Source organism: Homo sapiens, chromosome 9 (assembly GCF_000001405.40).
Source record: "Homo sapiens chromosome 9, GRCh38.p14 Primary Assembly".
Taxonomy (NCBI): domain Eukaryota; kingdom Metazoa; phylum Chordata; class Mammalia; order Primates; family Hominidae; genus Homo; species Homo sapiens.
Genome location: NC_000009.12, coordinates 32,126,812 through 32,141,612, shown reverse-complemented (window position 1 = coordinate 32,141,612; position 14,801 = coordinate 32,126,812).

Here is a 14,801-nt window from a genome sequence, read left to right as displayed (position 1 = left end):
ATGCTGAGAGTTTAAGCAACTTGTCCTGCCAAGTTGGCAGAGTGAAGTGGTGGCAGAATGAAAACTAAGTCATAAACATTGAATATTTAGAAAACAAAGTTACAGGACTTTGACTATTTAGAAAACATTTTCTAGGAAAACTCCTTGTTTAGGCTAGAATTCAAATCTACAGTGTGTTTATAACAGAGTCCTGAAATATTTATCCTGAGTGCTGTGGCTTATTCCTTCCAGGATTAGTAGAACCTTGACCTTTCCTCCTTGAGGCCATAATTGACCAGAGTCTTTCTCATGCATTGCTTCTGCCTCCTGCCATTGGAGTGGAATTAGCAGAAAATGACATCTTCCACGGAGCAGGCAGTCACTGTGCCTCCTTGCCTTTCTGCAACTGTGTTTCTCTCTGCAGCATCTACTTCTTTGCCCTGTAAATTGTGAAGGCTCAGCAAACAAGACTGGCTTAGTAGAATTTTGTGTCAGTTGAATCTAAACACAAAACTATCTGATATAACTATAGGCAGCCTAACACTGTAATCTTGGAGGAATAGACAACAATTGTAGGACTGATAGGGCTAGGTTTAGAAAAACAATTCCGAATACAGCAAATGATGTTCACTGGCTTCAATTTATGGGCTGCCTGATAGTTATATATTTCTGTGTGATTTGAGGCATTTATCTTTTTTCTGTCTTTTGATATTTTAGTAAGATGTTGAAAGGAGCTGCATTGGAGTTTACTGAGCCAGTTGCTAGAATGAACTGGCAATACATATTTACCATCTGTTCTTAAAGAATGAAAATCCCAAGTTCCATTAATTCACCAATATATGCTAATCCATTTGTATTTCAAGATGAGATTATTGACTTTGGCATCGAAATGTGTTTTATTCCTAAAAATTTTCCATACTGTTAAGGTTAAGCACCTTTTCCTTAGTCTTCAAGGAAAGTTAAAGACTTTCCTTTGAAAAGGTGCTTTGCTTGCATCTCTTACAGAAGCACTTTCATAACACAATGGGAGCTATCGTTTGAATCACTCATTCCACAAGAACAAGAATCTGCCATAAGATCTCCAGGTGGTTTCAGGTAGAAGAAGGGTGGAGAGTGTTGGCAGTAATATGGTATGCAGCTACTATTTCCCCAAATCTTTCTCTAGGCAGAATATTTCAGGAAATATTTATTCTAGAGGGCTCTTAAAAACATTTTCATTAAAAGATTATGCTAAAAATCTAATTTTAAAAATCCACACAACAGTCTTAATTTTGTGAATGTCATAAGAAGCTAGGGAATTCTGCTAAATCCACTTTTCTGTTATCTGGAAATTCTCTAATTTACTGAAGGTTATTGATAGGAGGAGAAAGGAGATGTGAGAGAGGGTTGGCAGAAAGAGCTCATGTTCTTACTCCCAAAGTCCTCTGGAATCATTGTCACCCGTGGACTCTGGCCTTATCACTGGTTCTGCTGGGACTTCTGTCTCCCAATTCTTGAAATTGCATTATGCATATGTTTTCTCCTAAATATTGCCTTTATTATCATCTCCTGGAAAATAGGTGACTCATCTTCCTCGGTATTGGGAAGAATGTGCTTCTTGTGTCTATTACCAACCAAACTAAAACCTGGAAAGGTATGGAAGAAGGAAATACAGAAGGTTGATGCTCAAGACACTTATATGTTGAATGATGTATTTCATTTAACCTATGCCACAATATTTTGTGCAGAGTTTAATAATAATCGTAAGCAACATGTCAAGGCAGAGTTTGAACATTATTTAGCAATCCATTGTTTTAAATTTCTAATCTGTTTAAACTCAAAATATTCTTCTCTATGGTATTCTTCTGTTTCTCTAAGCAATTTTTTCAAGATTGCAAAATGTGAATCATAATCAGCTGAACCAACAAAAAATCACATGCTCAGTGAAGTTTCGTTAGCTCTGTTATTTAAAGCTGATCTGCTCACACAGCTCCATTCCCACTGGTCCTCTTGCTATTCCTTCACATTTTAAGCTGCATATCTGTGGCAGAGTCTCTGCACTGCCCGTTTCCTCTTCCTGGGACATCTTTTCCCCAGATCATTACCAAAATCATCACTCTCTTCCTTCATCCAGGTCTGTGCCCAAATTGCACCACCACCTCTGAGAGGGCTTCCTTTACAGCCCTATCTCAGACAGCAGCCTGTCACTCTCCTCTTATGCTGCTTTTTTTTTCAGCATTGTCACTACTTACTATATTTGTACCCATTTATGGATGGATTGATTGCTTGTTTTATGCAGTAAAGCATAAGCTCTATGAGGACAAAGACTTTGCTTTGTTCACTGTACATTCATTCCTAACATCTAGGGGAAAAAAAGGTGCCTGGAACTTCATAGGCACTAGGTAATTAAAAAAATAGCTTTAATGCTTGCACATTCCACCTTTAATAATTGCCTTTTGAAAAATTGCCATTATGGAAAATACTCAAAAAAACTTCAAATGCACCTGGCAGTTTTAACCTGGACTTTAACAGAGACTATACATTGCTGTAATGTGTTCTTTTGTTTTTAAAATGTAAAAGCAAATTTTTAATAGACAAGTCATAATTATGTTACATTTATGAAGTGCAATGTGATGTTTTGATATATGTATGCAATGTGGAATGATTAAATTGAGCTAATCAACATATCTATCACTTTACTTTTTAACTTTTTTTATTGATACATTTGAAACTTACTCTTAATTATTTTGAAATATACAATACATTATTATCGATTATACATACCCTGCTGAGCAACAGATCTCAAAACTTATTCCTCCTGTCTAACTGAAACTTTGTATCCTTTGACCAGTTATTTACTCCCCATTCCCTCACTCCCTTACCCCAGAATCTGATAGCCACCATTCTTCTCTCTAATTCTGTGAGTTCAACTTTTTTGCAATTCCACATATAATTGAGATTATGCAGTATTTGTCTTTCTGTGCCTGGCTTATTTCACTTAGCATGTCCTGTAGATTTACCTATGTTGTCCTAAATGACTGAGTTTTATTCTCTTTTGAGGCTGAGTTGTGTTCTACTGTGTAAATATACTACATTTTCTTTAGCCATTCATCCGTTGATTGACACTTGATTCCATACCTTAGCTAGTGTAAATAATGCTGCATTGAACATGGGAGTACAGACATCGCTTTGACATATTTCTTTCAATTCCTTTGGATGTATTCTCAGAAGTGGGATTGCTGGACTGTGTGATAGTTTTATATTTAGATTTTTGAGGAACCTCCATACTGTTTTTCATAATGGCTGCACTAACTTACATTCCCACTAACAGTGTACAGGGTTCCCTTTTGTCCATATCCTTGCAAACACTTATCTTTCATCTTTTTGATAAAACCCATTCTAACAGGCATAAGGCGATATCACATTGTGGTTTTAATTTGCATTTCCCTGATGAGATGGTGCTGAGCATTTTTTTCATGAACCTGTGGTCATTCATATGTCTTCTTTTGAGATGTGTCTATTCAGGTCCTTTGCTTATATTTTAATCAAGTTATTTGTTTACTATTGAGTGAAAGAGTTCTTTATGTATTTTGGTTATTAGCCCCTTAACAGATATATGTATAGCTTGCAAAATATTTTTCCCAGTCTGTGGGTTGTCTCTTCAATTTGTTAATTCTTTTTTTTTTTTTTTTTTTTTTTTTGGTTGCTGGGCAGAACGTTTTTAGTTTGATGCAATCCCATCTGTCTATTTTTGCTTTTGTTGCCTGAGCTTTTGGGGTCATAGCCAAAAAATCCTTGCCCAAACAGCAGTGTTATGGAGCTTTTCCCCTAAGTTTTATTCTAGTAGTTTTATAGTTTTAGGTTTTACATTTAGATCTTTAATCCAATTTGAGTTGATTTTTGGGAATAGTGTAACATAAGGGCCTTATTTCATCTTTCTGCATGTGGATAACCGGTTTTCCAGTGCCATTTACTGAGTGCATTGTCCTTTCACCATTGTGTGCTTTTGGCACCTTTGCCAAAAATCAATTTATTGTAACTGTTTTGGTTTACTTCTGGATTCTTTATTCTATTTCATTGATCTATGTGTCTGTTTTTATGCCACTATCATGCTGTTTTGGTTATTACAGTTTTGTAGTATATTTTGAAATCAAGCAGTGTGATGCCTCCAGTTTTATTGTTTTTGCTCAAGACTGTTTTAGCTATTTGCAGTCTTTGTATTACTACACAAATTTAAGGATTGTTTTTTCTATTTTTGCAAAAAGTCACATTGGAATTTTGATAGGGATTGTATTGAATCTAGATTGCTTTTGATAGTATGGACATTTTAACAATATTAAATTATCCAATCCATGAACATAGGATATCTTTCCATTTATTTGTGCCTTCTTCAGTTTTTTAATAACTGAATTGACATCTTGATCTTCCTAAGTAGATCAGATTCCTCTTTTCAATGTTTCCTATAACTTATTACAGTCTGTAAGTTGCAGACTGTAAATACAAAAAGTTACAGTTTGTAAATACAAACTAACATTCGTGTACATATATATATACACACACCCACACACACACTCCCCCTCGTTAGAGTCTATGTAATACAGACCTCAGATAACAATGTTTAAATAAGAGGTTTAAACAAGAAGGAAGCTTACTGCTCTTAGTGTAATAGCCTGTAGGTAGGCTGTCCCAGGGCTGGCAGGGCAGCTTTGATGCATGAGGTCATCCAAGGACACAGCTTCTGTCTTGTTACTCAACCATCCCACAGGCACAGTCCTCCTGTGTGCCATCCTAGATAGCCATCAGTTACACATGCCTGCCAGCAGGGAGAGAGTAGGAGACAAGACGGGCAAACTCTCCTTTCCTGTAATAGTGTGATAATTTCCAATAATGAGGGAGTCTGGGAAATGGAGTATTCATTATACCCATATGAAAGTTCATTTATCAAGGAAGACAAAATAAATTATATTGGAGGACAAGTAGCAGGCTCTGCTACAATCTCTTTGTGTAAGAATTTAATTACTGTTCCTCTCTATCACTGAACCTCTATCCTCTGTATCATTGAACACCTATGATTTTTCTGTTTAATCTTTGGGTCCCAGCACAATGTCACTACATAATAGTCACTCAGTAAATACATAGTTAAATAATTATTTTATTGATGATGCCGGTATCAGCTGGGAATATTCACTTATCACATAGAAAATTTTTCAAAAAGAAGGAAGGTAGGAAGGTTATTCTATCAGTCTAGGCAAAAGGAGAGGAAAGTTGAAATAGGGAAGTGTTGATAAAGATGCAACAGAAAGATGTGAGGAATTTAAGGCTTTACAAGATAATGGTGGGAACTGAGGGAGAGAACTGTCTGAGGAAGTTGGGAAGGGGAGGTGATAGGGTCTTCTGTAATGGTCACTAGGCCTTCCCTAGGGGAAGAATGGGCGGCTCAGGGAGGGTTTCTGGGGACTCTGGAGGTTCTCAGATGGCCCCTCTTTCCATTTTATGAGCTGCCCAGATTCTTAAAAAAAAATCACCATTTTTGTGAAGCTTAGTTTCCATTATAATTATTTCCCTTTCAAACAAATAAAAAATTCTGACTGACACGTTACTGAGAGAGGGGTCTTGAAACTTGTACCTGGATTTGTAGATAACCCTTTGCTTATATGTAGACATTTGCAAACATCCCAGTGTATAAGCAAACATTCTTGGAATGTTAAAAGAAACATATTGCCAATATAGCTAAGCTTAATGTAATAGAAAAAATACTCACTGAAAATGTATAGATACATTACAAAGATTAAAAAGTGACTGCTGTTGAATGTGATAAACACTTTCTATTAAAAGTAATATTTTTGGTGAAAAATCTTAATTTCTATAATATGCAATAGCATAAAATAAACTGCATATAGGGGTCACATTTGAAAATTATAAAAACCTGTTTTACTTTGAGACTTCATATACCTAAAATAACAATAACAGTAGTCAGCAATGATCCTAAAACAACACAAGGCAAATATAAAAATAGCTTTTCTAAAAATGATGATATTAACTTCAGCGGGGGAAAAAAATGACAAAGACAAAAGGTATTTTAACTATCAGGCTTTTATCATGTCATCCTCATAAGATTAAGTCAGCTTTGCCTAAGGTAGAGGCAGTTTCACATCTTACTTTGTGTTTCATGGTAACAATTGCAATGGAAAAAGGTCACTTTCACAACAAATTGATCCAAGATGAAAAGTGAACAATAATGCCAGTATTATTTTGCTAAAGTCCTCTGTGAATTAAAAGTAGCAAAATTTATGATGACATATGTGGTTTGCCATGTTGGTATAATATTTATGTTTGAATCAAGAAATCTAAAAAAAAATTTAATGTGGGCTATATTTGGGCTATATTGAGTGTAAATATGTTTTACGTAGTTCTAGTATAGTACAGGATCAATTTTTATAGTTTTTATGCTTAGTATTATTTCATGCTTCTCACCTTTTTCAGTATCATACTTATTTTGAGTAAAAAATGTGTCTGGGACAGCTTATGATGCTTATGATGGGCTTTGTATGACATGCTAAATAATTTGAAAATTGGTTGGAAATGCTGAGACATATGAGTATTTAACAGGGGAGTAAAATAGTGAGTCTGATTTCAAAAAAATTACTCTGTGACAGTGAGGAAGACTGATATGAGGCAGCCAGGTTGTAGGAAGGAAAATGAGGAGATTCGACATTTGAAATTGCATATGTTCTTTCTCTATACATTAAGGTGTTTGCTAAATTGCTGTTTGAACTTTTCCTCCCTCTCCTTGTCCTCCACCTTCTTTAGTCTTCAGACTGCAGTTAACTTTCTGAGAGGGATATTTTTACTTAAAACCTTTGCTGTCCTAGTGGCAGAGCTTCCAGGAATCAGGACTAAGGACAGATTTGAGTGACTACCATCACATTGTGTTCAGAGTTCTTATTCCTCACCAACAACTAGACACTGGTATTGGGTTAAATTACTCGAGCTAGCCTCCTTCTTATGTAGGACAGATCTGTTTCTGAGTGTCCAGGTTCCTGACTGAACAGATGCATCAGTTTATTAGACATGCCCACATATGTCGGAACCCCAGGAACTGATGTAACTCAGGATCTTTCTCAGGTGGCTCCTTGGCCCTGTAAATAGGCTTCTGAAGGTATATCTCATCAGTTTGCAAAACAAGCCTAAACCTGCCTGAATCCCAGCAGTGAGCGGGAGTGTCTCAAACTAAGTCCCTCATCTACAGCAGTTGCGGTCAAAATAATATCAAATAACATAACTGGACTGGGTCTCTTTGTATCCAATTTAATACTTCTCAATGAGTTTTCACATACTTCATCTTCACAAAAACACTTTGAGATACATTGGGAAGGCATTTCTTATAATCCCATTTCCAAATCAAGAAAATAGTAGGAAATGTGAAGCAAATAGGAGGGGCAAGACTAGAAAGTAGCTTTCTGATAACTGAAATGGGAGATAAATAGGAAACTAACTGATTTTGTAGCTGCAAGAGCAGGAGAATGGGCATGTGAAGTGATATGGAGATAACTGAAAACTAAAAGGACAAGAAGAGCACAAACCCGATTAAAGGAGATGAAAGACATCAAGTCTTAGGTGGGGAGGGTGGTGGTAACACATAAATGTGAAGAGAAATCTTCCCTACCTGATATCAAGAATCAATATGAGGTTTCTGGGATAAACATATAATAAAACAACTTTGTTCTGAATTTGCTTTCAATAAATTACAGGGGGAAAATACTCCAAGTAGTTAAGATCATTTAGTCAAAAATGTATCTGTCAGATCTAATCAGGTTTGTAGAACATTAACACTGCAGTTAATTCACTTCATGGTACCATATTGAATATAAGTTACACCTTTGTTTTATGTGTCACTAAATTTTTTTAAATGCTGCCAATTAAATATGGCAAGCCAGTAATTATAACATGTATCTTGATTTCAGAGCTGATGAAATATTTACAAATGTGTGTCTCAGATTAATTTAATGTCATTAATCATACTTTCCAAATATATTTTTATGTGAATGATAGAATCTGTGCACATTAGTTGATGAAGTTCATTGTGCAAAAGACAAACTTACCTAGTTGGCTAATGATCTCAATCACTTGCCATGTGACAATCTGGGGAGAAAAATGAACCTTATAAACTGCCACAAAGAAAGCATGGTACCACGCCTGTAATCCCAGCACTTTGGGAGGCCGAGGCGGGCGGATCACGAGGTCAGGAGATCGAGACCATCCCGGCTAAAAAACGGTGAAACCCCGTCTCTACTAAAAATACAAAAAATTAGCCGGACGTAGTGGCGGGCGCCTGTAGTCCCAGCTACTCGGGAGGCTTAGGCAGGAGAATGGCGTGAACCCGGGAGGCGGAGCTTGCAGTGAGCCGAGATCCCGCCACTGCACTCCAGCCTGGGCGACAGAGCGAGACTCCATCTCAAAAAAAAAAAAAAAAAAAAAAAAAAAAAAAAGAAAGCATGGTACCTCAATATTTAGAGTATTTCATTCCCAAGAAATATTTTATGGAAGTTAAAACGAAGAAGATAGCCAAAGCGGGTTATATACACATCACGATATTGATTCTTCCTATTCAGGAGGATGGGATGCTTTTCCATTTGTTTGTGTCCTCTCATTTCCTCGAGCAGTGGTTTATAGTTCTCCTTGAAGAGGTCCTTCACATCTCTTGTTAGCTGTATTTCTAGGTATTTTATTCTCTTTGTAGCAATTGTGAATGGGAGTTCATTCGTGATTTGGCTCTCTGATTGTCTATTGTTGGTGTGTAGGAATGCTTGTGATTTTTGCACATTGATTTTCTGTCCTGAGACTTTGCTGAAGTTGCTTATCAGCTTAAGGAGTTTTGGGGCTGAGATGATGGGGTTTTCTAAATATAGGATCATGTCATCTGCAAACAGAGACAATTTGACTTCTTCTCTTACTATCTGAATACACTTTATTTCTTTCTCTTGGCTATTGCCCTGGCCAGAATTTTCAATACTATGTTGAATAGTAGTGATGAGAGAGGACATCCTTATCTTGTGCCAGTTTTCAAAGGGAATGCTTCCAGCTTTTGCTCATTCAGTATGATATTGGCTGTGGGTTTGTCATTTATGACAACAGCTCTTATTATTTTGAGATATGTTCCATCAATACCTAGTTTATTGAGAGTGTTTAACATGAAGGGATGTTGACTTATCGAAGGCCTTTTCTGCGTCTGTTGAGATAATCATGTGGTTTTTGTCATTGGTTTTGTTTATGTGATGGATTACATTTATTGATTTGCATATATTGAACCAGCCTTGCATCCCAGGGATGAAGCTGACTTAATCGTGGTGGATAAGCTTTTTGATGTGCTGCTGGATTTGGTTTGCCAGTATTTTATTGAGGATTTTTGCATCGATGTTCATCAGAGATACTGGCCTGAAGTTTTCTTTCTTTGTTGTGTCTCTGCCAGGTTTTGGTATCAGGATGATGCTGGCCTCATAAAATGAGTTAGGGAGGAGTCCCTCCTTTTCTATTGTTTGGAATTATTTCAGAAGGAATGGTACCAGCTCCTCTTTGTAACTTTGGTAGAATTTGGCTGTGAATCTGCCTAGTCCTGGGATTTTTTTTGGTAGGCTATTCATTACAGCCTCAATTTCAGAACTTGATATTGGTCTATTCAGGGATTCGACGTCTCCCTGGTTTAGTATTGGGAGGGTGTATGTATCCTGGATTTAAAACATTTCTTCTAGATTTTCTAGTTTATTTGCATAGAGGTGTTTATAGTATTGTCTAATGGTACTTTGTATTTTTGTGGAGTCAGTGGTGATATCCCGTTTAGCAATTTTTATTGTGTCTATTTGATTATTCTCTCTTTTATTCTTTATTAGTCTAGCTAGCAGTCTATCTATTTTGCTAATTTTTTTCAAAAAGCCAGTTCCTGGATTCACTGATTTTTTGAAGGGTTTTTGATGACTCTATCTCCTGCAGTTCTGCTCTGATCTTAGTTATTTCTTCTGCTAGCTTTTGGATTTGTTTGCTTTTGCTTCTCTAGCTCTTTTAATCGTGATGTTAGGGTGTTGACTTGAGATCTTTCTAGCTTTCTGATGGGGCCATTTAGTGCTATAAACTTCCCTCTTAACACTGCTTTAGCTGTGTCCCAGAGATTCTGGTACATTCTCTTTGTTCTCATTGGTTTCAAAGAACTTCTTGACTTCTGCTTTAATTTCATTATTTACCCACAAGTTATTCAGGAGCAGGTTATTCACTTCGCATGTAGTTGTGTGGTTTTGAGTGAGTGTCTTAATCCTGAGTCCCAATTTTATTGCACTGTGGTGTGAGAGACTGTTTGTTATGATTTCCATTCTTTTGCATTTGTTGAGGAGTGTTTTACTTCCAATTATGTGGTCAATTTTTGAATAAGTGCCATGTGGCACTGAGAAGAGTGTATATTCTGTTGATTTGGGGTGGAGAGTTCTGTAGATGTCTATTAGGTCCACTTGATTAGAGCTGAGTTCAAGTCCTGAATATTCTTGTTAATTTTCTGTCTCATTGATCTGTCTAATATTGACAGTGAGGTGTTAAAGTCTCCCACAATTATTGTGTGGGAGTCTAAGTCTCTTTGTAGGTCTCTAAAAACTTGTTTTATGAATCTGGGTGCTCTTGTATTGCGTGCATATATGTATTTATGATAGTTAGCTCTTCTTGTTGAATTGATCCCTTTACCATTATGTAACGCCCTTCTTTGTCTTCTTTGATGTTTGTTGGTTCAAAGTCTGTTTGGTCAGAGAGTAGGATGCAATACCTGCTTTTTTTTTTTTTTTTTTTTTTTTTTTTTGCTTTCCATTTGCTTGGTAAATTTTCCTCCATCCCTTTATTTTAAGCCTATGTGTGTCTGCATGTGAGATGGGTCTCCTGAATACAGCATACTGATGTGTTTTGACCCTTTATCCAATTTTTCAATCTGTGTCTTTTAATTGGGGACTTTAGTCTATTTACTTTTAAGGTTTATATTGTTATGTGTGAATTCGATCCTGTCATCATGATGCTAGCTGGTTATTTTGCACACTAGTTGATGCAGTTTCTTCATAGTGTCTTTGGCCTTTATATTTTGGTGTGTTTTTGCAGTGACTGGTACTGGTTTTTCCTTTCCATAGTTAGTGCTTCCTTCAGGAGCTCTTGCAAGGCACTCCTGGAGGTGATGAAATCCCTCAGCATTTGCTTGTTTGCAAAGGATTTTATTTCTCCTTCACTTATGAAGCTTAGTTTGGCTGCATATGAAATTCTGGGATGATAATTCTTTTCTTTAATAATGTTGAATATTGCCACCACCGCCCCCTTTCTGGCTTATAGAGCTTTTGCTGAGAGATCCACTGTTAGTTAGTCTGATGGGCTTCTCTTTGTAGGTTACCTGGCCTTTCTCTCTGGCTGCCCTTAACATTTTTTTCCTTCATTTTGACCTTGGAGAATCTGATCATCGTGTGCCTTGGGGTTGATCTTCTTGTGAGTATCTTAATGGTGCTCTCTGTATTTCCTGAATTTGAATGTTGGCCTGACTTGCTAGGTTGGGGAAGTTCTCCTGGATAATATCCTGAAGTGTGTTTTCCAACTTGGTTCCATTCTCCCCATCTCTTTCAGGTACTCCAATCAATTGTAGGTTCAGTCTTTTTACATAGTCCCATATTTCTGGAAGGTTTTGTTTATTCCTTTTCATTCTTTTTTCTCTAATCTTGTCTGCCTGCCTTATTTCAGCAAGATGGTCTTCAAACTCTGATATTCTTTCTTCTGCTCGATCGATTCATCTATTGATACTTGTGTATGCTTCACGAAGTTCTTGTGTTGTGTTTTTCAGCTCCATCAGGTCATTTATGTTCCTCTCTAAATTGGTTATTCTAGTTAGCAGCTCCTGTAATCTTTTATCAAGGTTGTTAGCTTCTTTGAATTGGGTTAGAACTTGCTCCTTTAGCTCAGTGGAGTTTGTTATTACTCATCTACTGAAGCCTACTTCTGTCAATTTGTTCAACTTATCCTCCGTCCAGTTCTGCACCCTTGCTGGAGAGGTGTTGTGATCATTTGAAGGAGAAAAGGCACTCTGGCTTTTGAGTTTTCAGCATTTTTTCGTTGATTCTTTCTCATCTTCATGAGTTTGTCTAGTTTGATCTTTGAGCTTGCTGACCCTTGGATGAGGTTTTTGTGGGAACTTTGTGTTAATGCTATTGTTGTTGCTTCCTGTTTGTTGTTTTTTTTCTTTCAATGGTCGGGTCCCTCTTCTGTAGGGCTGCTGTGGTTTGCTGGGAGTTCACTTCAGGCCCTATTCATCTGGTTCACTCCTGCACCTGAAGATATCACTTGAGGAGGCTGGAGAACAGAAAAGATGGGTGCCTGCTCCTTCCTCTGGGATCTCTGAACTCGAGGGACACCGACCTGATGCCAGTAGAAATGCTCCTGTACAGGGTATCTGACAACCCAGTTGGGTGTCACAGGGAGCAGGGCCCGTTTAATGAAGCACTTTGATTGTCCCTTGGTGGAGAGGGTATGCTGCGCTGGGGGGGAACTGCCTCGTCTGGGCTGCCTGGATTCCTCAGAACTAGCAGGAAAGACTAAGTCTGCTGGTCTGCGGAGGATAGGGCTATCCCTCTTGCTAGGGGCTCAGGCCAAGGGAGATCAGAGTTCTGTCTCTAGCCCCTGGCTGGAGTTATTGGAGTTCATGCAGGGAGGTCCTGCTCAGTGAGGAGGGATGGGTCAGGGTCAGGCCTGAAGAGGCACTCTGGTGCAGTCTGCCACAGCTGGTTTATTGGGCTGTGGGGAATACCTCTTAGGACCACACTGTCAGGCACCTTGGCTCCAGTAGGGGAAAAGCCTGGCCTGGAACTATAGAGATGGCTGCTGCCCATCCCCCGCCCCAGGAGCTTAGTGTGTTAGGCAGCTATGGTCCTAGTGTTGGCTGCTGCCCCTCACACAAGAAGCTCAGATGGCTTAGAGAGCAGGCAGCTGCCCCTCCCCCAGGGAACTCAGCAGGCCTAAGCAGATTCTAGCTGAGTGGCTGTTGAGAATCTGCGCAGCTCCGTGGTTGGGACTCTAGGCCCTGGTGGCATGGGCTCATGATTCATGGGTTGCACAGTTCCGTGGAAAGCGCACAGTTTCCCTGGCTGGGTAGCCCACTCCCTCACCGCCTCCCTTGGCTGGGGGAGTGGGAGCTGCCTGGTTATGTGGGGCTCTCAGGTGGGCCGCAGCACCACACTGCTCTTCCTACCTCTCTGTGGGTCACACCAGCTGCCTAGTCAGTCCTGATGACACAACCTGGATACCTCAGTTGCCTATGCTGGATTTGCATGGTGTTTTGGTTCTTTTAGATGGGAACCTCCCATCACGGCTGCTTCTAGTTGGCCATCTTGGCCCCGCACCCTCCCATGTTATATTTTAAAGCTTCTTAAATATTATGTTTCCCAATAATTATGCATGCTGTTTCCTTGCAATGTTTCTATTAAAGAATAGAAGAAAAATATTGTAAGCCTCTCCATTGAAAAGGAAAAGTTTTCTTTTGATAATATTATTGTCAATCAAAGCATAAAAGAGAGAACCAATGATCAGGTCATGTACAAGGAACTTAGCTAAGGAAGAACCACTCTTTAGGCTGTCTCTTGATATAAGAATGGTTTCTGGTCTGCTTAGATATATTTCAAAATTCCAAAAAAAAAAAAAAGCCAGCAAAAACATGAGAAACTGATGTGGATAATATCTAATTAAAATTTAATGTTAACTTTAATGGCAAGTAAGAGTGATCAAATCAATAATCCATGTGTCTGATGTATGTTTGCAGAAATTATGAGCATTTTACTCATTGTCTTCTTGAAAGAAGAAAGAAGTATACCCGACTCTGGCTAAGAAACCTCTGAAACAACTGAAAAGTATACTTGCTAGAAATCTCTAGACCCATGTTTCAGTCCTGGGGCTTCCAATAAGTTATTATACGACAGACAAAATTCCTTAACTTGTGTAGGCTTCATGTTCTTCTTCTGTAAATAGGCCATAATAAGCTGCATGATGTGAAAAATAAAACCCTTTCTACTCAAATAATTACAAATATAAAGAGGCAGCGAATAAATGGTCCACGATCAAATTAACTAAATCTTTGTAACAAAAAGTTAGTATAAAATTACGTATTACATATTTGGGGGAAAATACTTGCTAACTCTGCCTCTCAAACCTATCCCGCCTCCCACAAGAAAACAGAAGCATTTTATTGAAAACTTGTAATTACGAGAAATCAGGGAGATTATCACTTTCCAATATGATGGAGTAGCTTGCAGCCTCTCCAATCTCCCTTTGAGGGAAACACGATTAAACTGATTTAAAAAGGCAGAGATTCCCAGCATGAAACCACGCAAGAAATGGTGGCTAAGCAGAGTTTTTGCTGGTCTCACAGGACTGGGGAGGCCAAGTGAGAGACCATGGCTCCCATGGCAATGAAATTGAGATTCCAGAGAGAAGGGAAGCACTGAGAAGCCAGTCCACCCTCAGCACTGCTTTTCACCTTGAGGAATTGCTGGTTAGTATGTGACCCATTCCTAGGGTAAAGCCAAGGTAAAGGCTCAGGTAAGAGGTTGAGACACTAGGTAGAGCCTTCAAGGGTCTTGTCCTGGGGAGATGAAAAGTAGAATTCAGTAGCTGCCAAAGAACAGAAATCCATGAAGAGCCCAGGGGCAGGGATATAGCTAAATTTAAATGAGCATTATCTGTGCAGAATAATAAAAGTAGTGTCATGTTGCATTAAATATTTATGTTAAACATGTAATTAAATATATAACACATAGTGATATAGTTTGTCTGTGACCCCACCCAAATAT